Raw genomic sequence first — 24,029 nt, forward strand, 5'->3', positions numbered from 1 at the left:
CCAGTGTGCAGTGTCCGGCTGTAATGCTTGTAGAAAGCACCCAGGAGTTGCCCAACCTTCCCGTCTGTGTGCGCTCCAGCGAGTCACTGCGCCATCGCAGGTGTCAGTTTTCTCACCTGTACCACTTTTTTTTTTTTTTTTTTTTTTTTTGAGATGGAGTCTCGCTCTGTCACCCAGGCCGGACTGCGGACTGCAGTGGCGCAATCTCGGCTCACTGCAAGCTCCGCTTCCCGGGTTCACGCCATTCTCCTGCCTCAGCCTCCCGAGTAGCTGGGACTACAGGCGCCCACCACCGCGCCCGGCTAATTTTTTGTATTTTTAGTAGAGACGGGGTTTCACCTTGTTAGCCAGGATGATCTCGATCTCCTGACCTCATGATCCACCCGCCTCCGCCTCCCAAAGTGCTGGGATTACAGGCGTGAGCCACCACGCCCGGCCTACCTGTACCACTTTTGTCCCGCCAGTCCAAGTGTCTTCCATGTGCTTTCCAACTCCAGAGCACTATGATTGCACCAGGAAGTCCAGCACTATGGAAAAATGCTCCGAGCTGGAGTCAGGGTGGCCACGTTTAAATCTCTGCTCTGAAATCCTGGGTAAGATGCTAGACCTAAAGAAGTCTCAGTTTTCCCATCTGTAAAATGGGGAGACTAACGGTTCTTGTCTTGTAACATTGTTGTGACAGTGAAATGAGATGATGATGATACTAGCTTACAAGCCCTGAGCTCTATGTAGCAGACACTGCTCTGAACACTTCACACTATTAGTTAATTTTGCCCTCAGCAGCGAAAGGCAGCTAACATGAGCCAGCACACAGTGCTTCCCATAGTCACTCAGTTCATCTCTTCCACAACCCTATGGGGTAAATGCTTTTCTAGTCATTTTACAGGTGGAGAAACTCAAGCACAGAGAGGTTAAGAACTCGCCTGAAGTCAGGAGTCAGGATTCAAAGATAGGCAGTGGCTTCATCCGAAGCAAGTATGCTCAGCCCAACACCTGCCTTTTATTAGCATGCAGTGGAGGCTGGTGTGAAGTCTAAGGGGGTAAAAGTTAACTTCAAACATTTGCCCTTTGGTAAGGATCCATTAAGATTACATACACATGGTAAACTCCCAGCACAGTAGAAGGGCTCAAAAAATGTACATGAGTGAACAAATGAGTGAATTTCAGGGAAGACCATGGGCCTGTTATGACTCCTAGCTCTTCCATGCAGAGACGCATTTCTCCCAGCAAGGCTACGAATGATGGGTCTTGCAGGCACAAGGAGGATGCCAAGCAACAGTGATGCCAGGGCTTCCAGAGTGCCCTGGAAAGCAAACCTTTTTGGGGGGACGTGGGCAGATGGATTAACTCCACCTCCCATGCACCACCTCCCCCATGCCTTGGGCCAGAATAATCTCTGTCTATGGCCCCAGAGATCTCCAAGTCCTGTCTGGGCAGGTGCTGGCCGAGGCAGCAACACCTGGGAGTGATACACAGAGGAGAAAAATGGGACAGGAAATGGCACCAAGGTTTTTGAAATGGAAAAAGTGTAAAAGTCCTTCCTTTGTGTGGGAACGAGTGCCAGGGGGCCATTGCCTATTGAGTTTTCATCAAAGTAATTTATTGATCAATACAGCTAACATGGCTAGTTCAGCGATTTTGTAAAAAATAACCATGTGTTGGATGCGAGAAGCACTTTGCTGGATTGCGACAAGCAGGGCCAGGCAGGATCACTGTATTTTATGGCCTTCTGGGAACTGGGCCCTGGCAGCTAAGTCTCTGTGGCTTTATCTTCATGACACCAAAACATTTGGCTGAAGAGGAAAAAAGATGGGCCAATCTTCCAGATGTTTTGTCTACCTGGCAGCAAATATCAAGACGTTTCCTGTGCAAGGTCACAATTGCAAACCACGAGGCCAGGAAGAGGGTTACATGTTAAGAAACGTGCTGGCCCAGAGTCAGAAGGCCAGAGTGGAAGGGAGTTTTACATTTACTAAGCACCTACTGTTTACCAGGCCCTGAGCTAAGCATTTTGACACCACATTTCTCTGTGTTTTCAGATGAGAAAAACGAGGTGGGTACTGTGTTCCCAAGGTGACAGAGCAACTAAACGCTAAAGGAATGATTCACCTCCAGATGTGACTTCAAGACTTTCCTAACGCAGCTTTTACTAGTTTGACCTGGAATAAGCGATGTGACCTTGCTGAGCCTCAGTTTCTTCATGTGCAAACTGGGGCTCCTCAGTCCTGCTCTGCCTACCCTGCTCACTGTTGGGAGGATCAAACAAGACACTCATATGAACACACTTGGCAAGTCAAAGAGAATTCCACTACTGCAGACGGTGGTTTCTCTTCCTGGGATACCCCAAAGCACCTAGCCTGGCCCCTGTATTAGTCTGTTTTCACACTGCTGATAAACACATACCCGAGACTGGGTAATTTATAAAGAAAAAGGTTTAATGGACACACAGTTCCACATGGCTGGGGAGGCCTCACAATCATGGCAGAAGGTAAAAGGCACGTCTTACATGGTGACAGGCAAGAGAGAATGAGAGCCAAGCAAAAGGGGAAACCCCTTATAAAACCATCAGATCTCGTGAGACGTATTTACTACCAAGAGAACAGTATGGGGGAAACTGCTCTCATGATTCAATTATCTCCCATTGGTTCCCTCCCACAACATGTAGGAATTATGGGAGCTACAAGATGAGATCTGGGTGGGGACACAGCCAAACCATATCAGCCCCAGACACAAATATGTGTTAAATAATTCAGCAGTGGATTGAGCCAGACAGCCCGGCATCTTGTCCTCCAAACATCTGGGTGCTTGGATGAGTGTGTGTATGCCCTTCCTTCAGATGCCTGGGCTACTCCTCTGGCATGCACTTCATGGAAGGAGCCAACCAGAACTTTTGCCACTAAACTTCCCACTTGTCTTCAGAATAAGTAGGCTCCCTTAGGGCTCTACAGTTCCCTCACCTGGATTGAGGACTGGCCAAAAGACCCTGGGAGAGAAGGCCCCTCCGCTGCCGAGAGCTCTGCTTCTTAGCCGTGCAATGCTGGATCCTCCATTGCTGTATCAAGCACATGTTTGGACCAGGCTTTGGTGAGGTCCCTAGCTGGAAGGGGTGTCACTCACCAAGAGCAGCTCCAGGGAAGAATGCAGAGGAGGGAGAATGAGGCTGAGCCCTGAAGCCTGAAAGGGCCAAATATATCAAGGGTCTACAGTGTGAGGCTGGCCTGTGCCTCAGACCAGAACCTGGGCCAGCTGGGGAAAGCCCCAAGACAAAGTTGGAGCAGGGCTTTGGAAATCCACCTCATCACATGCCCACCCTCATCGAATGCCTTGCCCCAGCCCCTTGCACCCCAAGCCCTAGCCACATGGGCCTTCTTTCTGTTCTTTGACCTTGCCAAGCTCTTCCCACCTCAAGGCCTCATACGCTCTGTTCCCTCTGCCTGGAGTGCTCCTGCATTCTTCACAAGGCAGGCTTCTCTCATTATTCAGGCCTTAGCCACCTCTCCAGAGAGGCCCTTCCTACTCCCAAACCATAGCATGGCCTTCCAATTGTTTCCATGCATAACATCTGCTGTAATTAAGAACTATGCATTATTTGTTAATTGTTTGTTGCCCTAAGTAGAGTAGATGAGGTCCCATGAAAATGGAAATCTCACCTCTTTGATCATCAATCTATATTCAGCACCTAGGAATGTGCCTGGCACATAGTAGGTGCTCAACCAACATTTATTGAAGGAAAGAAAGAAGAGAGGAGGAAAGAAAGGAGGAAGGGAGGGATAGGGAGGGGGAAAGAAGCCAGGCAAGCTGAACCGCAGACCAGCTTCTGAGAGCCAGCAAAGACAGATGTATTCCATCTATAGAGTTCCTTTTCTGGCAGATTCTTGGACATCTTTTCATACCTGAATGGAGTAATGAGGTCTTATCATGTGTGCCCCATCTGGTTTCTCCAGGAAAACTCCACCAGGTAACCTGTTGAGCCCCACTCTGTGCCAGGCAGGCACAATCTTAAGCATTTTATGGTACTTATCCAATAGAAGATAAACCACACCCAGTGGCCTTTGCTGGGAAGCTAGAGATAAGCAGAGGCCAGAAACACAGGTTGGGGTTAGAGAACAGTTATCCCAATTGGGCTCCTAGGACATTCACACCTGCCATTTTGACCGTGAGGATGCTTTGACTCCACTGGGCATTTGAGGACTTGGTCATCCCAGTAACAGAACCCATTTAGCCATTTAGCCTCTTTTCTTATCTTTTCTTTTCTTTTCTTTTCTTTTCTTTTCTCATCTATTCTCTTCTCTCTCTCTATCTCTGTTTCTCTCTCTCTCTCTCTGTTTTTGTCTCTCTCTCTCTCTCTCTCTCTCTCTCTGTATCTCTGTCTCAATCACTGGCTCTCACTTTCTGACTCATTCTTCATCTCTCAATAAGAATTCCCTACATTGGTTCATTCAGGGGTTAAAATAGCAGGGTCAGAATATCCTGGTCCCATCTCTGCATCAAGAGATTCTGAAGCCTAGGAAACTTCTGCCCAGATTCTATCTGGTTGGTGCAATGGGGAAAGATATTTCTGTCCACCTTGGGTAGGAGAGAAAGGAAAAGCCACATCTCCCTGGAGATGATGTGCTAAAGCAGAGACCCCAAGGGGCAGACAGCAAAGGGAGCCTGTGGGGATAACTCACACACCCAAAGTAAACCCCAGCAGGTGGGAAAGCAAAGCCAGCCCCAAATGTCAAGAAAGTAAGAGCCCTTATTTTATCCAGAACTTAATCCACTTGCCTAGAAAGCCGGAGGTTCCGCAAAGAAAACATCTCCCAAATTAATCTGAAGCTTCCCACTGCCACCTGGCTCCAAAGGGCTGGCAGAATAATAAAATCTCAGGATTTGAGCAAGGTGGGATTTACAGACACTGTTCTGGGCTGGGGAGCCAGTGCTTTGTTCATTACTAAATCTCCCTTCTGCAGCCACCTCCTGACAATGTCCACAGGGGACTCTTGACACCAAAGAGCCCACACTCTTGCCACAGGGGCCCCCAGGTCCATAGCCTAGCCAGGGAGAGGGTGCCAAGCACCCTGTTCCTGTCTAGGGTGGGCAGGTCAGCCTCTCCCCATTTCCCCCAACTCCGGCTCCAGCAGAAGGTGGCAGCTTTGGAAAGCCTCCCACGTTGCAGTCCAGGAGGGGAATGCGAAGGGGCTTGTGTCTGTGTGGTTTGTTATCCAGGCCCAATTAGTTGCTGGGTCTGTGTTGGAGAGATGGGCCTGCGGCCACTGCGAGGACTACAGGGAGCGAACAAGGACAGAGGTTGTTAAAATGCTCCTGCCAAGATCTGGTGCCTGCACCATGTCCACACACCTCAAAGACATGGTAATGCAAAACGGAGCCACAGCAGATTTCCTGCCCAGCACATGTTAACTGAACTCTGGGTAATGCCACCCAAGAGACACACAGCAGCCACTTGTGCCCAGGCAGGCACCAAAGGAAGGAAGGAAGAATCAGGAGTATCCTAAATGTGCCACTGTTCACTTTAAGGTTAGAAGTTTCCCACCTGGCCCCATCCCATCTGTGACTCTGGAATTCAAGTTGACTTGTCTGGCACTTATTAATTGCCAATTGTGGGCATTGCTAGGGGCAGCTGCTAGGAATACACAGGGGATTACAATGGAGTCAGGCAGACAGGAGTTCAAGTCTTAGTGACACCCATCACTTACTCACTCCACTGGGTACCTTCACCTCATTAAGGCTCAGATTCCTTATCTGGAAAGTGGGAATGATTAGACTCACCTTAGGGTTAAATGAGCTCAGAAAAGGGCTCAATAAACAATTGCTGTTATCATCACAATAAACAGGAATGGGACAAGATCCCTCCCTCTGAGTTGCTCTTTGCCCATGTGGTAGGTCAGTGGCTCAATGCCTGCAGGGCCAGCAGAAACCTAGAGTGAAACAGGGCTGGTGAGAGAAACAAATTTGAAAAAATTGGCCCTCCTAGTCTGTCTTTTGTTTACTCCTGAAAATAAAAACATTTTACTTTTCCTTCTTAACTTTACTGAAAGAAAAACAGCAGCAGCAGGACAGTGACTGGCCCTGGAACAGGAAATGACTATAAGGAGGGGTGGGGACTGAGGCATATGTGAATGTGGGAAGAGAAGCTGGAAACCCAAAATTTCATATGAAACGTCCCAATTTTTGAATGTTGGCTGATTCAACTTAAAAAACCAATTAAAATTAAAATGATGAGGGTGTGGAAGGGGTCATAACCCAGAAATAGAGTTTAGAAAGAGAATTTCTTGAATTCCAAGCAAAGAGGTTAGTCTTCAGAAGAGTGAGACATCAAAAGATGTTGAGGGCCAGGCGCGGTGGCTCAAACCTGTAATCCCAGCACTTTGGGAGACCAAGGCAGGTGGATCACCTGAGGTCAGGAGTTTAAGACCAACCTAGCCAACATGGTGAAACTCTGTCTCTAATAAAAGTACAAAAATTAGCTGGGTATGATGGCACACACCTGTAGTCCCAGCTACTTGGGACAGCTGAGGGGGGAGGATCGCTTGAACCTAGAGGTGGGGGTTGCAGTGAGCCGAGATTGCACCACTGCAGTCCAGCCTGGGACACAGAGTGAGACTTTGTCTCAAAAAAAAAAAACGAAAAAAAGAAAGGTGTTGAGCTAGGCTGGGTGTGGTGGCTCACACCTGTAATTCCAGCACTCTGGGAGGCCGAGGCAGGAGGATAACTTGAGCCCAGGAGTTTGAGACCAGCCTGGGCAACATAGTGAGACCCTGTCTCTTAAAAAAAAAAAAAAAAAAAAAAAAAAGAAGAAGAAAAAAAGGTGTTGAGCTGTTTTCTTTAAAAAGATTTCTAAAAACCATAAAAAAGAAGCTTAAGAGTATTCTTCACAACCACTACCAGGCTTGACCTTCCTGGAGTTTGCATAGCCAGGAGCAGGCACTGGCCTTTTCAGGGAGCTCGGAAAACCTGGATTTTTATGGCATCTCTTGCCGCACAGTTGGGCGTGCCTAGAATTTCACAGTGAAAGGAATCCAGGGCCCCTTGATAATACCCCTGGCCAATCTGTGCTTGAGAAGCCGAGGGCAAACCTGAATAGGCTTGTCAAACCTTAGCCAGCTTTGCTTGCTTTTAGCTGTTTTTTTAAAAAGACTCTCTCCAACCTCACTAGAGATAACACCTCTGACGTATGGATCACAATGCTAACGGTTGTCTAAGTTGTTTTTCAGGAATTTAGAGTCTGCTCCTGTCCAGTTCAAACTGAGTGAGACCACTGACCCTTCAACTGGACCTCCACAAATGATGGATGGGTAATGAGTCCTCTTTTGACGTCACAGGGCCAAGAGCTCCACCCTCAGGTCATGCTGATGCTGCCATTTTTTTCAGACTTTGTCCTATGAAGGGCCATGAAGCTTGACTACGCTTGTGCAGAAACTGATTGCCTCACTTCTCCTTACCCCCAATCACCTTTCCCCATGCTTCAGACCACTCTGCTTCTCTATCCCATAAACAACCCTAAACCTCATCTTTGGGAAGGTGGATTTGAAACCTGTTTTCCTGTCTCCTCGCTTGGCTGCCACATGAATAAACCCTTTCTCTGCTGCAAAACTCATCGTCTCAGTGATTGGCATACTGCACGGTGGGCAAAACAGGCCTGGTTCGGTAACACCAGAATCTGGCCCATAATAGGAAGCCCACTAGGTCCCAAGGCATCTTACTGAATCTTTAAAAAGCACTGAATATGGATAGCTGGTATTGAATCAAAATCTGCCTTCTCGGACCATCACTCACTGGCCCCGATTCTACTGGGACCTTTAACACCAGATCTGCTCCTTCTCATACACCGCAACCCTTAGAGATTTACAGATGGCCACTCCCACCTGCATGCCTCCAAATTCTGGTCTCTGAGCACTCTTTCTGGTCCTTTGTCTCTATAAACTGCACAATGGGGACAGAGCTTACTGCACCTTATTTCTCTCTGGCAGAGCAGAGACTAATAAGGAGAAAGCATTAATATTTTTGCTGAAGAGCCCCTGACCCTCCTTAACTGCAGGCCTCAGATCCAGGATCAGGGAGCAAAGTCACTTGTAGAAAAAGCCACCTTTTGCCAGATGAGTCAGGCTCAAAGGCTGTCTGCCCTCACACAGCCCCAGGGGGAGATTGATGCCTGCATTGATGGATCACTCCAATGTATTAGGTAGATAAAGAAATTGATTATTCCATAAATCATTGTCTCCATGAAAAAAAAACTCCAATTTTTTTAAAAAAGAAAATATTATAAATCTACCCAGGCCCCCAGGAGCAAAAGTACAGCCATTTCAATTTAATTGCCTGAGAGCCTCTTTGCTGCAACCCCAGAAATAAAAGCCCCCGAAGCGACTGACTTCCAAGCTAGATTTTCCCTCCCACCCTCCAAGAACAGCCATGTCCAGGAAAATCCACGGACGAGATGGATTTACACTGCATCAGGAATGATCTGGGTTAGTCAGAAAGAAGAATTTCCTCACCAGAGGAGACAGACTATGTCCCTTGGAGACTTACAAATTGGGTACTAACCCCTTCCTTTAGCTTTCACCCCCTACTTACACATGCATCCATCCATCTAGAAAAGTTAAGGTTCAGTTCTGCTAAAAGACAGGGAACTGGCCAAAGTGAACCCTGGAGGGGGATAAATGTGACAGCTCAGGGGTGAAAGAACACTCTCAGAACAACGTAAGTGATAAACTGATTTAGAAGGGGCAAGGGCAGGAAGGAGGGCAGGAGTGAAGGGTGAAATGGAGATGCAGCCTCCCTGCCAACTCGACTGTGCGACTTTCAGTTCGTCTCTTCATCTCTCTGAGCCTCATTACTCCTCCCCAGGACTCCAGGGAATGAGGAAGATCCAAGTGCAAGACTCTGGTCTAAACTGTACATACTGAAATGTTCAAGGAACCACAGCTATTTCTAAAGGTCACCTAATTGGACCTACCATGAGGACATTCAAATACCACCAAGCCCAGGAGTGCTGTTTCATTGCCCCCGCATCCTGGAGCCCCCGCAAATCCCCTGACCCTATGTACTCTGCAGTACACAGAGTGGGTGCTCCATAAATGTTTGGTGAATCAATGAGTCAGCCCAGAACCCATGTGAAAAAGACAGGAAATAAACACAAAATTACAAACAGCATAAAAATAACCACAATTTCCAAAGCAGATTTTTCTGATTCTGCGAATCCCAGCAGGAGCATCAAAAAGCCCCAAATCCCCTCATACTGAGAAATCTTCAGCCAGAGCCCCTGAAGTAGCCCTCACTTTGTAGCTACCATAGCTCACTTCCTCCCTGACCATCTGGATTTTTCTATTTGCTGTGTGACGTCCAAGATGCCATCTTACCTCTTAAATCCTTGGGGTCCATTTGCCTAAACCTCATTTCTTGTTCAGAGGCAAATTCCTCAGAGGCAAGTGAAACAATTCCTCTGACTCTATCATTCTAACACTCTTCACCTTCTCTGGTCCTTTGAGCTCTAGTCCAGGTGTTCCCAGCCAACTCTCCATACCCCAGTGATGGATAAAAGTGCACCATTTTTCTGAGAAACACTGAGGTCACTCCTGGCACGACTTTTCTGTCTGGGAGAGGCTTTGTCAATGCCCACCCCCACCACAAGCCTTCCCAGACACATCCAGGTGGTAGAGCACCTGGAACCGCTGGGGTTGTTTAGGGAATGCCACCAAGCTGTGACACATTTAATTCCCATCACCTGAATGAGGAATAATTTTATTTACTAGCAGAAAATATGGCTCTATTATAGGTATGCAGGTCTCCACAACTCAGGAAATAATAACACACAAAATACTTTTAAGAAATCACATTTGGCAGGATAAAAATACAGAACACAATCCTACTTACAAAATGCGATGTGAAAGATGAGGCTGACAAGCCGAACCAAGATGCTTGGTATCAGGTGTGACATTTGACAATGGAATGCTCACTCGTTTTGTCATCTGCTGCTGCTCCCTAGCAGACAAGCCGTACAAGGCACCAAAGGTTAATGAACAATTTATGTGGAAAGGAAAAAAAAAAGGAGAAAATTCCATCTATTACCTTGATTTTCTTTTACCATGCGTTATTCTATTTGAACAACAACAAATAACAGTTCTTACTAGCCTACCAGAGTTCTAAAGGAATAGCATTTGAAAAAAAAGAATGCCTGTTTAGCAAGACCTTACAATAACCCCACCACCCATACTAGAAAAGCCAGCATGCAGATGGCGCCACCGGCTACCCCCGGCCCTGGCTGCTCTCCGTGGTGCTGAACACAGAGGTTGGGGTGTCTCTCAATCTCCCTGGCTCTTGCTGAACCACACGGTGCATCTGTTATTTATGACTTCTTCTAAACACATATGAATACAATTTGTATTTCTCTCGCAGTGTGGAAGAGTGTTTCACAGGTTGGTTTTTCCACATTGGAAAAGTCTAGGCTCTTTTGTTCTCTTAAGACTGCAAATGTAAAACTTCAAATTTGCAAGTGTGTGTGTGTGTGTGTGTGTGTGTGTGTGTCTGTGAGAGAGAGAGAGAGAGAGAGAGAGAATAGGAGCGTAGATCAGGTTTTCTTAATAGGATGAGGGTCAGAGGACCCATACAGTTGTCTGTTTTTTTCCCATGGCTCACCAAGGGACATGACACAAGTCATTTTCTCTTTTCTGTCTTCAGCATCCCAACCCGTGAAAGAAAAAAAAATGGGGACAGGTAGTGCTCCTGTAGCCCCAGCATTTGGGGTGCCTCCATTTGTGTTCTGGTTCTTCCATGGGCTCGGAGACCACCAAACAAGATTACCTTGCTGGCCTGGCTTCCTCAAGTGCTGAAAGATTTCCTGGATCCAGAAGGAAGACGCAAGGCTCTGCTTCTCTTGCAAGAAGACAGGGATTCAATTTCTTTGCTCAACTCTCCCCCAGCCCACAGTCCCCATAGACCAGCCATAATTCAGCTAAACCTGAGAGTTCACCCATATTTTATTTACTGATTCAATGTTACGAGACAAGTAAAATAGACGGCTGTCACCTCTATTAAACTGGGCAGGAAAAATGGTCATGTAGGCAACAGGCTCTTTCTGCTCATGATGTGTCATGTTTCCCCAGGGAGGGAAGCAAGAAAAGGAGGGGCCTGGCCTCAGGGGAGAGCTCAGTTCTGTTGTGTTCAGGAGGGGAAGCTCAGGGCTCCATTGCAAACCTGCCCCATCCTCACTCTCAGTCACATTGGTACAGTAGACAGATCAGCCCAGTCAGTCAGGAACTGGGACCAGCCTTTAAGTCCTCAGTTTCCCCACTGATACAAAGGAAAGTCACTACTCACTCATCAGGCTTGGGATAAAGAAAGACTGTTGAGCCCCAGTTTGAGAAGTCTGTGCTAGAGAAGCAAACTTCCATATGGTCATCTCCTGCAAGGACACAAAAACATGTGCACACACTCACTTTCCTCAGAACCTGGTGTGGAGGATGCATATATTCCCAGGGCTAAATGGCCTCCGTTGACTGTCTATACAGCCTGAATCTCCAGGTTAACTGTCAACACCTCTGCTTTACACCAAGCTGTCATGTTGACCAGTTGTCTACATACCCTTGCAGGAGCCAGTGATGTGGTAAAGACAGAGACCTGACCTATGATGGGCAGCAGAGCAATGGCCCAGCCACATTTCTGCCTCACAGCTGTCCTGAGTGCTCAGCCTATTAACGACAGCACAGCAGAGGTTCTCTTCCTTGGTTCAGCTCCCAGAAAGAGCAGCCGAGATGCTGACGGACAAGTGGGAAGGAGAGAGGGGTGAGGTCAGAAAAGGCAGGAGGACTGTGATCTCTCCTCCAGTCTCTTCTTTAAGAAGACAGTTTGTCTCTCTCAAGAAATTCATCATGATAGGAACAAGACAATGAATGTAAAGTCCAATCCTAGGCTTGAGAAAGAAGGGCTCACTCCCACAAATATTCCAGCTCTGCCCAAAAGACTAAATCTAAAAGGTCCTGGCACAGAAAAAGTTGCAGAACTGGTGTGTCAGAAGACCACCATAGACAGCATGAGCATCTTGACTTCGTGGAAGAATCTAACAACATCCTTCATAAAATCCTCATTGACAAAATGGAAAAAGTGTTGAGCTGCATGCCGGGGCAGTTAGGTGGACTTACATTCAAATGACCATATTCACCATTGCATTCATTTATTCAACAAATATTTATTAATTATCTACTAGGAGTCCTGCACTGTGCTAGAAGCACTGGATAAGGTGGTGAACAACCTGGCTATGGCCCATACTGGTACAGCACTTATCTCTAAAGTAACTAAGAATTATAATACAGCAAGTGCTACAACAGGAAAAGTAGAGGGTGCTGTGGGACTCAGAAGGGGATGGAGGTTGAGAAATGCTTCCTGGAGGAAAAGACATGTTCATTGAAACCTTAGTATGAGTAGAAGTTGGCCAGAAAGAAATAGAGTGCCGGCCGGGTGCAGTGGCTCACGTCTGTAATCTGAGCACTTTGGGAGGCCATGGTGGGCAGATCACGAGGTCAGGAGTTCGAGACCAGCCTGGCCAACATGGTGAAACCCCATCTCTACTAAAAATACACAAATGAGCCAGGCATGGTGGCATGCACCTGTAGTCCCAGCTACTTGGGAGGCTGAGGCAGGAGAATCACTTGAACCCAGGAGGCAGAGGTTGTGGTGAGCTGAGATCACGCCACTGCACTCCAGCCTAAGCAACAGAGTGAGACTCTATCTCAAAAAAAAAAAAAAGAAAGAAAGAAAAAGGAAAGAAAAAAGGAAATCCAGTGCAGAGTCCCAGAGTGTGGGGGAAAGCACAGTGCCTTCTGGGGACTTAGATGTTCAATGCAGTGGATCAGAGAGGGTGAAGCAAGGAGGGACAGTCTATGAGTCCAGAGATGCCAACCATGGCAGATCATAAAGGGCCTGAGGGCATAAGGAAGCCAGTGGAATTCTGAAGCTCGTTAAAGTGTAGGATAGTGGATCCAAGACCATTTGAATAAAGCCATCAGACTCTGACATTGCTCATTTTCTTTTTAATGTGTTTATGGCAGACCTGGCTGAAGGGAGGGAGGATATGTTTATCCCAGGCTCAGATGGCAGGAAGCATGCGAGACATCAGAATGGGAATCCCCAAAAGCTTCACTATTCAGAACAGTGATTCCCAACCCCAACCATACTATAGGCTAATAACCACTTAACCTCTCTAACACAGACCCCAGGAGGGAGGCAGTGGTTAGAAGAGGGTGTAATCCATACCTGCTTTCCAAGCATGGAGACATGGTAATAGGCTCTGGTGGTCCAGAAACAATGAGTAAGAATAACTGCCTGAAGGTTCAATGATAGAACTTACTGGGAGATAAATGATAGGTTCTGCCTTTAGGCTCAAAATATCAACTACTAAAGGGAGGATAAGAAAAGTTATAGATCAGCAGCAATACTTGTGGAAAAGATCTCATGTATCTCATGAGAACAACAGCTTAGGATAAATCAACAGACTGAATGGCTGCTAAAAAGCCTGAAACAATCTGGGGTTGTATAACTAGACACCAAAGCTGAGATCTGAGGAGGTGATGATCTTACTGGTTTCAATAAATAAGTAGCACTGTGGTCATCTTTTGATGCCATGCTGGAGGAATTAAGCCTCTTTAGTCTGAAGAAATAAATGCCTTTGTGTTTCTGCAGAGCTCTAGTGTAGGACAGGGAACAAACTCAAGCCAGAGTCAGTGGGCATGGTGATCATAATAGTAGGAATAATAGACAACATGTATTGAGTGCTTACCACGGCTGTGTTCTAAGCACTTCATATGCATTAACTCATTCAATCCTCACAAAAACCCTGTGAGGCAGGTACAACTATTATTATTATTATTATTATTATTATTATTATTTTGAGATATTAAATACTTTGCTCTTGGGAGGCTGAAGCGGGCAGATCACAAGGTCAGGAGTTCGACCAGCCTGGCCAATATGGTGAAACCCCATCTCTACTAAAAATAGAAAAATTAGCCAGGCATGGTGGCAGGTGCCTGTAGTGCCAGCTCCTCAGGAGGCTGAGGCAGGAGAATTGCTTGAACCCAGGAAGTGGAGGTTGCAGTGAGGTGAGATTGTGCCACTGCACTCCAGCCTGGGCAACAGAGCAAGACTCCATCTCAAAAAAAAAAAAAAAAAAAAAGAGTTTGCTCAAGATTACACAGGTGGGAAGTGAGGGAGGCAGCCTTCAATCTCAGGCTGTTAGATCTTAGAATCCATGAGCTTATCCTCAAGATTAGATTGAGAGCTAAATGCATTGAGAGCTTCGTTTTTGCCAGGCATGTTAATTCTCACAATAATTTCATGAGGTGAAATCTGCTATTATTCTCATTTTACAGGTAAGGAAATCTAGACTTAGAGAAAGTAAGTGACTTACCCAAAGTCACACAGCCAGGAGGGAAGGGATCAAGAGTTGAAACTCAGACAGAGGAATTTCAAACCCACACTCAGACCCCAGTTATATTGCCCTCCTAGAACTGCAGGGAGACACATGTTAGCTTTTTAGAGGAAAATTTGCAACAAAGATTAGCATGGGCAAAACATCTGCAGTAAAGCATGGATGGGGCCTACAATTGGTGAGCTTCCCATTACAGGTGGCATTCAATCAGAGACTGGCTATCCACCTGTATGTAGTGGGGTCCTCCATTGACCTAGAACAGCAGTTCTTAAAGTGTGGCTCCCAGATGAGCGGCATCATCATGATCTGGGAAACTGTTAAAAAGGCAAGCACTCAGGCCTCACCCCACACCCACGGAATCAGAAGCTCTGCGGATGGGGCCCAGCAATCTGCATCTTAATGAGTGCTTTGGGTGATTCTGGCACATGCTAATATTTGAGAACCAGAGGCCTAGAATGACCCCCGGGGTCTTTTCAGCCTAGATTATTTGATTCTTCACCATAGACAGGAAATGTGATGCCTGGAGCCCTGGAAAGTCCTTGGCTCCCCGCTCCTGCTTTTCCGCCCAATTGGGCAGCTTTTTGGAATAGCATATTTCAGTTCTGCAAAGCAGATGCAGAAAGGCTTTGCAGAAGTCTCCCTCATTCCCATATTTAAAGAGCTCATCCCTGCAGTTGTTCTGAGAACTCTATAAACCCCCTTCCATCGGCAGCCTGTCTGCATCAGTCCCTTTAATAGCACAAGACTTAATTGTCTCCTATGAATTGGAACCCTTTTAATACAAACCAGAATCTTAGTTCCTTCTTGCTGCTTTTCCCTGCTCTGCTATCCTTAACTACCATTCAGCATGGCACCAAAGAATTTGGAGTTGAAACCACCACTCCCCCAGGATCTCACTCCATTTCATCATCTCCGATCTGTATGATCACCATGGGGACTCTCTCCTCCCTGCCTTTTGCCTCTGTCCTCATTACCTGCTGTCTTCTAGGAGAGCTAAAGTGTCTATCCCCTAGGGCCTCTAGCCTCAGACCCTCTCCAGTCTCCAGTGGCCTGCCCAGGAGGTGAGATTGTACTCCCCATCTGAGAAGGGCTGATCAAGACTCTCTGGACCAGCCCCTTAAGAACATCCCATAACCAGGGTCTTCCCAGCTCTGAACATATGCAAAATGCATTTTAATCAAAATGCTGCAAAATCAGGGAAGAACAAGCACCCCATAAATAATGGGCCAGGCGGTGTCTGGGAGCTGACATTATGAGCATCCAAGAAAGGGTACCTCTGTTGCTCCCTATCACAGTGAATAATTGGTACAGACTGCTAGGCCCACCAACTCCAGTGCAGGGCCCATGGGTATGTGAGCGATGGGCATATGCCACATACAAGGCTGCATGGAGTATGGGGCACTAGGGGTTAGCACAAAGCCAAGGGCACATGAGATGCAGACAGCCTCAGAGCTCAGAGTCGGTGGAGATGTGGCCCCACCCTTGGGGAACTCTCTTTTTTCTCCTAAAATTTATTAAGCATCGGGCACTATGCAAAGAGCTTTACGTACTTTATCTCCTTTAATCCTCACAATAACGCTATGCAGACAATACTGTAAGGGTCAACCACAAGATTTTTGTAGGTCAACAATAGCTGCACGTGGTTCAACCTAACGTTAATACTTCTATTTTATAGATGAGGAAATGGAAGCTCAGAGGTGCGGTGACTTCCCCAAGGTCACACAGCAAGTACACATTGGACTCACGTTCAAAAATAGATCCACCACATTTCATCAGACCCAAGACATGCCATTCTTTCTTGGAGTGCCAAGAAAGAAAAAATTCTGCAAGTAAACTTAGACATGACATGTGAGACACGAGCTGATGTCAGAGATATGAAAATGTGAAAAAAAAATCCCATCTTAGAATCAATGAAATATATTATTGACTCCAAAAAAAATCATTCTGTTTCTTGGAAGTGATGGGGGAGAGATGGCCTGAGACACCCTTGGGTAGCTCCTTGTCTAGTGGGGGAGGCACAATGCACATGCATTAGAGAAAGCCTAGATACCGACTCACCCCCAGAAAACCATGGCCAAGGTCAATACTGTTAGTAAACAAGGCATAAAGGTCAAAGGAAGCAAGGAGAAGGACCTGGGCAGCTGAGCTGTGACTAGGGAGAGGCAGTGTGGACCCTGGAGGCGATTTCCAAAGGAAATAAAACAAAGGAAGGAAGGGCAGACGGCTCTAGGGGCATGGCTGCTATGAAATGTGGCTATGAGAAACAAAAGAAAATCTGAACAACCTGTTGTCCTCAAACCCAGTCCCCTGGCCCTCAATTTGGTCTGATCTCTCCAAATCATGCTCAATTAGGATTTGTCTCTGGAGCACAAAGATAAGTGGGAGGAAAAGCATACTCCAGAAGCAAATTCAGATGCTGGGTCAGGGCCAGGATTTAAGGAGGCACCCCCTCTCATGGTCAGTCATGCAAGCAAAGGGTCCTCATTTGAGGGCCTCCTTAGAGTCAGCTCCCTGGAGGTCTCCCTAGCATCACCCTACACCCAGCCCTGTGCACAGACTCCTCCAAGGGCAAAAAGAAACGCTCAAGTGTGGACAGCATGTAAGCTCTTTTGAAAAGACGTCACACGTATTTAACCCAATGGGCAGTATCATCCCCATTTTACAGATGGGGAAATGGAGGCCCTGCAAAGTAACATAACCCTTCTGACCATGCCTGTCTCAAATCTGTCACCTTTGTAGTGACTTTGGGCAGTGCAGCTTCCCCTCACTTCCAGACAGCTCAGTCCCTGGCAGCCACCATTATCCCAGGCTCCCCTGGCCCCATGGGAGAAGGAATACTGCAGACAGAGAAGGGTAAGTCTGGGTTTGCCTTTGCTCTTGTAGACGGAATGGTGGATTAGGAAGACTCTTGCATCCAGGTCCCCATGCCCAACCCACGGTGTCTGTGACACAGCAACACATGTTCCAGGACCCAGAGGCAGCAGGCCCAATTTAGAAGGTCAGGATGTGACTCTTGCTTAAAAATAAAACGACCATAAAAACCTATTAGCCTTGAAGGGATGTTGGCAAGAAGGAACAGGACTAAGGAAGGAAAACGGGAAGTGAGGGAAGGAAGGAATAACAAAGACAGCTAATTCTCCAACCACCTTCTCTTTCCAGGTCCCTGGGTGAGGAGGATGGAGGTGAAGGAGACACAGACACGAGGCCCTTGGGTTTCCTCAAGGCTTTGACAATGTCTTTGAGGACAGCCTGGTGGTTCCAGTGGGGACATGTAGACTACAGACCCCAGAACAGTGGGATCCCTGTAGGTGAACTGGCCTCACCCAAGGGTGAGTCCGTCCTTTATTTAGGGCTTAGATTAAAGCCTCAAGCAGAGTCCAGAAGCCAGGACAATGTGGGATGTAGTACATGGAAGGATGTGTATTGGTAGGAAGGCTGGGAAAGACCATCCACACCTGGGCCCTGGAGGAGGCAAATATGCCACACAGCTCATCAGCAAGGCCAGTCTGACACTGAAAACTAGTGCTAGTGGAATTCAGAGTGGTAGAGCCCAGATGGCCATCCTCCCAGAGGAGGACCAACATAGCCCAGCCAGTGAGACCTCACTCAGCAACCAGAATGGGGAGTGGGGGTAGGGGCACCGCATTCAGCCCCTTAAAAACTGTTTCTTGCCATCTCCAGATGGCACAGCCAGCTAAATGCATGGGATCCAGAGGCAGGCACACCATACTTCTTATCCCACTTCTACCGCTCACTGGCTGTGCGATCTTGGGCAAGTGACGCCACCAAGCTTAGTTCCCTCACCTGTAAAATGGGATAATGTCTGTAGGTTGTGAAGGCTACCTAAGATGAAGAGAAGAGCCCTATGGCTCCATTTATTGAGCACTTACTATTTACCCACACTATGAGTCATTGTTTGAAAAGCATTTGGCACAGTGCTTAGTGGCTAATAATTGCACAATAAATTGGAGCCATCATATGGCTGTTGTCATTGTTGTTTCATTATTTTGATTTTGCTCCAGACCCAGGTGGGGCCCCAGGCAGAAGACACTGCGGTGGCCGTCTCAGCACAGGCACACTGCCCTCTGGTGCTGCTGCTGAAGAATCAGCACCTGGGAGAAGAGCGATTCCAGGAATCAAGCCCAAGGCCAAGGCGCCAGCCCCATCCGCATCAGCTCCGTTTCCATACCAGGCAGGCCCTTAGTGCATCTGTCTTCCCAGAGCTGCAGCCCTACCACACTGGCCTCTGGAGGACAAGCGAGTGCCTGCTGGGTGCTAGCCTCAACGAGGGCCCTGCTCCTGCAACATTGGTCCTCTCTGTTGCCAGGCGGGGTGTGCAAAGTCCCCCAGTTCCTCTCCGTGCTGCCCAGTGGAGTGAAGCACCCGCTGTTTCAGTTCCCTCTGGAAGGTCCTGAGCAAGCAAGGCAAGCCAGGCTGCAGCTGCAAGGAAGAGACAGGGGCAGCTGCTGTGGCAAGTAGAGGAGGCGCCACCTCAGCAGACCAGAAACAGTCCCAGTCACTGAGATCAAACAGGTCTCCTGCTAAAAGAACCCCCTTCACCAAGCAGGCCTGCAGTCTGTCCTACATATGGCCTTATACTTCTCTCAAGAGGAGGGGTAGTTCCACAGCCCACGGGGGCATCTGTGCTTCCTCCCCCATGGAGGGGACTGTTTCCTGGGACAGGCACAGAGTGCCTGTGGGAACGTGGGGATTCAGGAAGGCTTACAGCCCCACAAAGGATCCTAAAAGCCACTAGGCAGCTTGCATTTCTGGAGTGGTTGGAGGCAGCTTGCATTTCTGGAGGGGTCGGGGATAAAGAGCCATCCTGCAAAGCCCTTTGAAAACAGCACATGAGCTGGACTTCTGAGGTCAGCCATCCTGCCGGCTACAGGAGGATGCAGGTGACCTTGGAAGAGCCTAGTGAGGCCAGGGTGCCTGGCTCACCTTGCATAAACCACCTCTAAAGACCCTAGGTCATTCTGACATCAAAAGACTGTTTAGCGAAGTGCGAGGCAGGCATCAGGAAGAAAATTAAACTCCAGTTGAGAAGGAGGAAAGCTGGGGCTAACAGCAGCAGCTGGGCTGAAAAGTGGAGGTAGAAATTCCTCAAGTTAATGCTCTCTAAGGCCCCGCGGGCCACTCCCAGGTCTTGTCTGAAGCTATTTACTTCCAGGGGGGAAAACCCTATTGATCTTCATTCAGCTGCTGTCTGCTCCTACAAGGCAGCGATGTTTCAGCGCATCACCAGTCACTGTGAGAAATTTCTCATTGTTTTATACACAGCGGCTCCCAAACTCAAGAGATGAATGTTTAGGATAATTTGGGTGAACCAGTCATAGGAGTTACAGATGAGGCCGGTTTGGGAACTCTGAGGGAGGGGGTGTCTCTCCCCAGGGATCGGCTGCTGTTGCCTGCTGGGCCCCTGTATATTCAGGAAACTCAGGACCTTGCAGCTCAGTTCTGCTCTATCTGTAGATGCTCAGAGTCCAGAGCTGGGCCAACCCTTCCTTTTCCCCACCCCCCACCCCCTCCCCCCCCCCAACACCTGCTTTATGTCTCTGCAGTCATTTGGCTTCAAACCTCCCCACTGGCTGGCTGGAGATCGCCACCATCCACTTGAGCTCCTCAACACACAGAAGAGCTGGCCAGGCTTCCCCAGCTGCTGCCACCACTGTCTAGTTCCCTTTTCAAATTCCAGGCTGGCCCTCAATCCTACATATGCCCATAACATGAGGAGAGAACTAACCATGAAACCTACAATGGCATAACAGTGCCCGCCAGCCTGCACTAAAGGGAACTTTGAAACCACAGAACATACCAACCATTAAGGCCAACCAAATAGTTTACAGATGGAGAAACTGAGGCCTGGGGTGCCAGGGAGAGGTGTGATTTGATGGAAATGGCCCAACAAACTGGTGGCAGATGCAGCAGAAAACCCAGACCTCCTGGCTCCAAGTCCAGCAGCCCCTCCACTACAGATTTGGGGTCAGGTAACCTGGAAATTCAGGTCCCCACGGGAGGTCACTGAAGCCCGTTTGGCTGAGAGAATCTATGCATTAAACTGCCTTCCGTAAGTTAAGACTGGGATTCACCCAAACAATAATAACGACGATAATAATAATAAAATGCCAAACAATATGGCTTGAAAACCTTCAATGCACAACATTTGATAATCATACATAGAATACATCTTCCACATATTCACATAAAATAATCAATGATCATTTTTTCTCGCAGACTACAATCCAATCATTCTCTCTCCCTTGCTCTCTCCCTCACTCTCTTTTGTTACTTGCAAACCATCCAAGCAATCAATGCCTTGACCTCTCCTTCTGATAGACACAATTACAAAAAGACAGAGCAATGCAATTCATCTATTCAAGACGGATTGTTTGAACACTCTGTCACACTGCTGAGCTATCCATCTCCTTGTCTAAGAGGAAATTTCAGCCCCCAAAAGAGGCACAAAGAGAGGGGGTGGGTACGATGCTCCTCAGCCCAGAGAGCCCCTCTGGCACCTGCAAGAAAGCCCTCTCCGGGCTGGTGCTCGGCGATGCCTGGCTGCTGGAGAAGCATTCAGCTCCAAGCTCAGCCGGCTCAGGTGCCAGTCTTGAGAATCAGAAGCACCTAGCACACTCCAGAGGGCCTAAATTCTTAAAGCCCCAGCCAGAACCCTGAGATCCCAGGGATGGGGGGGATGGGAAAAGGGAGAGGGCACTGGGCCCAGCCAAGGTGGTGTGTTTGGATTTTAGCATGAGATTCTCTCTCTCTCGCTCGCTCGCTCTTTCTGTCCATGTCCACTGTAGCTCCCTGGCTCCAGCTGGGGTTCAAGCAGGGGCTCAGAAGGACAGAAACTCAGCTCCCCAGGAGTCTCCAGAGGCCTCAGAGTCCTCCCATCCTCCGCCCAAACTGGCACAGCTCTGGCAGTCACGTTTGGCGCAGGCACAACACCCCAGTCCATGGGCTGAGAATCAAATGGGGCAGGGCTCTTGGATATAAATGACCTGGGCTGACACGCTAATTAATCCTGGGGCTTAATACGAAGAAGATTAGAAGAGAGGAGGGCTCTGCCATCCTTTAATTTCATTATTACACGCTGAACCCAAGAAAGGGCGGGCAGGCTTGGGGATGCTCTTCCTAAGGGCTGGGAGGAACTCCCTAACCCATTCAATTTCACAGTAAGGATACATCATCCTGCGCCTTCCCAGCTTATCCCTCTGAGGCTGCCCTTACGGTAGCCTGTCCTTCTGGGCCTCCAAAGACTTCCATCCCTGAGGCTGGGCTGGGAGCACACCCATCCCACCCCTGTGGAAGAAGGATCAAGGAAAAGGGAACTGCAATCCGTGCGATGGGCAAATAGCACCCTCTCAGTCCCCCCACCTTTTTCCCCAAGGACACCCTACGACGCAGGCCCCCAAAAAAGCAGAGGGAAGGAGACAGGGAATAAAGGAAGTGCTGGTCCATTACTGGGGGGGGAAGGGGAGGCTTCCTGCCCCTGGAATGGTGCCAGGCTGGGCTTGGGGCAGGCAAAGGCACAGAGATAGAAGACATTTCGGTTGTCAGGAGCAACCAGGCTGGGCTGCAAAGGGTTAAGCCTGACCATAAGGGTTGTCCCCAGTGTCCCCTCCCGTGCCTGGCCTCCTCTGCCTCCGGTGCTGGTGTTTGCCTGCCAGGGTCCTGGGCATGGACCGAAAGATCTCAGCGTGGGCAGAGCTGAGGACTGTGCTCTGCCCCATCCAGATGGTGTTCAAGAGGGTCCGGCTCCCGGGCGGCCGCCCAGGAGGAGACCCACCCGCTGGGTTTCTGACCGCCTCCTAGGAAAATCTCAAGTACGGAAACCAAGCCCGACACCGGTTCCGGCACCTCTTTCACGCCGCTGGCAGCCCAAGGTCCGCCCTGAAGAAGAGCTGTAGAGGAGGAAGGTGGCCCTGGCTCGGCGGAGTCCGGCTCGCCTGGTGCCAGGCGCTGGTGCTGGCGCCGAGTGAACCCAGGCGGCCCAGGTGTCCGGCCTGGTGGCGGGCGCAGGGCCTGCGGTGATGGAGGCTCCGTCTTAGCCCGGCCAGGCCCAGCCCTGCCGGTCGTCGGCCCGGGACATGCGCGGCGCTCAGGCCTGCAGGGTGCCTTGGGCGGCCACAACAAAGTTAAAGACCGGAGTAAGAGTCTCCGGCGAGAAGAGACGCGGAGAAGCCGGAGCCCCGGAAAGCCGCGCGCAGCCCCGCCAGCCGCCGCCAGCTGCGGAGGAATTCGGGCTAACTTTAAAAACCGCTGGCGTCCCTGGGCCGCCTGCCCGGGCCGCACTGGGCGGCCTCCATCGTCCCTTCCCTCTACCTGCACTGCCCCAGGCGGGAGAGAGGCCTTGGCCCCGAGGGACCAGCTGCAGCGGGCAGCGGGGTCCTGCTCCCCCAACCCCCGCCCCATGGCACGGGGCTGAACCGGTACCACCGAGGCCAAGGGCGACCACCAGGAGAGAAGACCGGCTGCCCTCGTCATGCGAATCTGTGCCCTGCGACCTCGCTGCGGCTGCTCGAGCTATGCCAGAGGTGGGGACGAAGGGCCCGCGGGGAGTGAGGTGGGCAGAGGAGAGAAGTTGGCGCCTTCCCCAGGGTCCCCACTCTGCGGAGAAGCCCGATCGCAGAACTCGGTCGGCTGCGGTTCATGCTGGCAGTCACCGCGAAATGCGCCCTCGACTCGGGATCGCACTGGAAACCTTCGCCACACTGTGCCAGGTCTGACCTCCCAGGAGCGCGCCAAGGGCCCCTCGCCCACTGCGGCCCGGCGGCCTCCTCCCCAATAAGTAAGGCCCGTGACCCCGACTCTGGAACTTTGTCCTCACAGGGAGGAGCTCCTGGTGGTCACCGATCGGCTCAGCAGCTCGGAGAGAGGTTAGGAAAATCTCTCCGGAACGCGTTGGGAGGCCCCCTCATTCCCGCCCCCTCCCGGGCGCACGGAGACCCCCGGCTCCAGGGAGCGCTTACCGATCCGGATGACGTGGGGCATCCCGCGCGAGTCCGGGATCCAGAAGGCGCACACGAGGAGCCCGGCCCAGTATTCCCAAACCAGACTCCGGAGGCGCCGCCAGGGAGCGGTCATCGTTGGGCGCCGCCGAGCGTGCCCGGGGCGCGGCCGTGGCGGGCTCCCTGGGGCGGCAGCTCTAGGCGCGGGCGCGCAGCAGCCCCGAAGGCGCCGCCTGGCCCAGCCGCCCGGCTCCCGAGCGCCGCTGCAAGTGGGGGGCGCCCCGCGGCGCCGCGCACATCTTACTGGGGGGCCGCCCCGCCGGCGCCCGCCCCGCCTGGCTGCCGCCCACGGGCTGCCCGCGAGCGAGGCTCCTGGGCTCCGCCCGGACTCCGCTCGGACTCGGCTCCGGCTCCGACTCGCGTCGGCTCGGCTCCCGCGCGGGCTCCCACCTGCCCCGGCTGCCGGGCTCTGGCGGGCGGGCTGCACGCGTCTCCGGCCGCTCCTCCTCCAGCCGCCGCCGATGCTATCGCCCGGGCTCGCACAAAGCCCCGGAGTGGAGTTGCACGCGCGCACACTCTCCCTCCCAGCCCCCTCCCCTGCGCCCTGCCTCCCGCCTCCCGCGCCGCCCGCCGCCCGCGCTCCCTCCGCGCACTCCCCC

The 24,029-nt window shown here is 50.1% G+C and overlaps 1 protein-coding gene across 1 annotated transcript in view, besides 3 other annotated features; it reads right to left on the bottom strand.

Moving 5' to 3' along the window:
- Nucleotides 1-23,913, bottom strand: part of GRIK3 (glutamate ionotropic receptor kainate type subunit 3) — a 238,989-nt gene extending 215,076 nt beyond the window's left edge. Inside the window, exon 1 of the mRNA NM_000831.4 lies at nucleotides 23,392-23,913. Within this exon, the coding sequence (NP_000822.2) occupies nucleotides 23,392-23,506 (115 nt within the window). The 5' untranslated portion in view covers nucleotides 23,507-23,913. The remainder of the gene's footprint in view (nucleotides 1-23,391) is intronic.
- Nucleotides 18,637-18,686: an enhancer, noted in NCBI's record as "active region_763". NCBI's record gives its function as "activates an Ori minimal core promoter by ATAC-STARR-seq in GM12878 lymphoblastoid cells {active_cell/tissue: GM12878}" and the evidence as "EXISTENCE:reporter gene assay evidence [ECO:0000049][PMID:35858748]".
- Nucleotides 21,668-22,567: an enhancer, noted in NCBI's record as "H3K27ac-H3K4me1 hESC enhancer chr1:37497871-37498770 (GRCh37/hg19 assembly coordinates)". NCBI's record gives its function as "activates a minimal SCP1, AML or CMV promoter by ChIP-STARR-seq in naive H9 embryonic stem cells {active_cell/tissue: H9 hESC(naive)}" and the evidence as "EXISTENCE:reporter gene assay evidence [ECO:0000049][PMID:30033119]".
- Nucleotides 22,568-23,467: an enhancer, noted in NCBI's record as "H3K27ac-H3K4me1 hESC enhancer chr1:37498771-37499670 (GRCh37/hg19 assembly coordinates)". NCBI's record gives its function as "activates a minimal SCP1, AML or CMV promoter by ChIP-STARR-seq in naive H9 embryonic stem cells {active_cell/tissue: H9 hESC(naive)}" and the evidence as "EXISTENCE:reporter gene assay evidence [ECO:0000049][PMID:30033119]".

This window comes from Homo sapiens, chromosome 1, assembly GCF_000001405.40.
Source record: "Homo sapiens chromosome 1, GRCh38.p14 Primary Assembly".
NCBI lineage: Eukaryota > Metazoa > Chordata > Mammalia > Primates > Hominidae > Homo > Homo sapiens.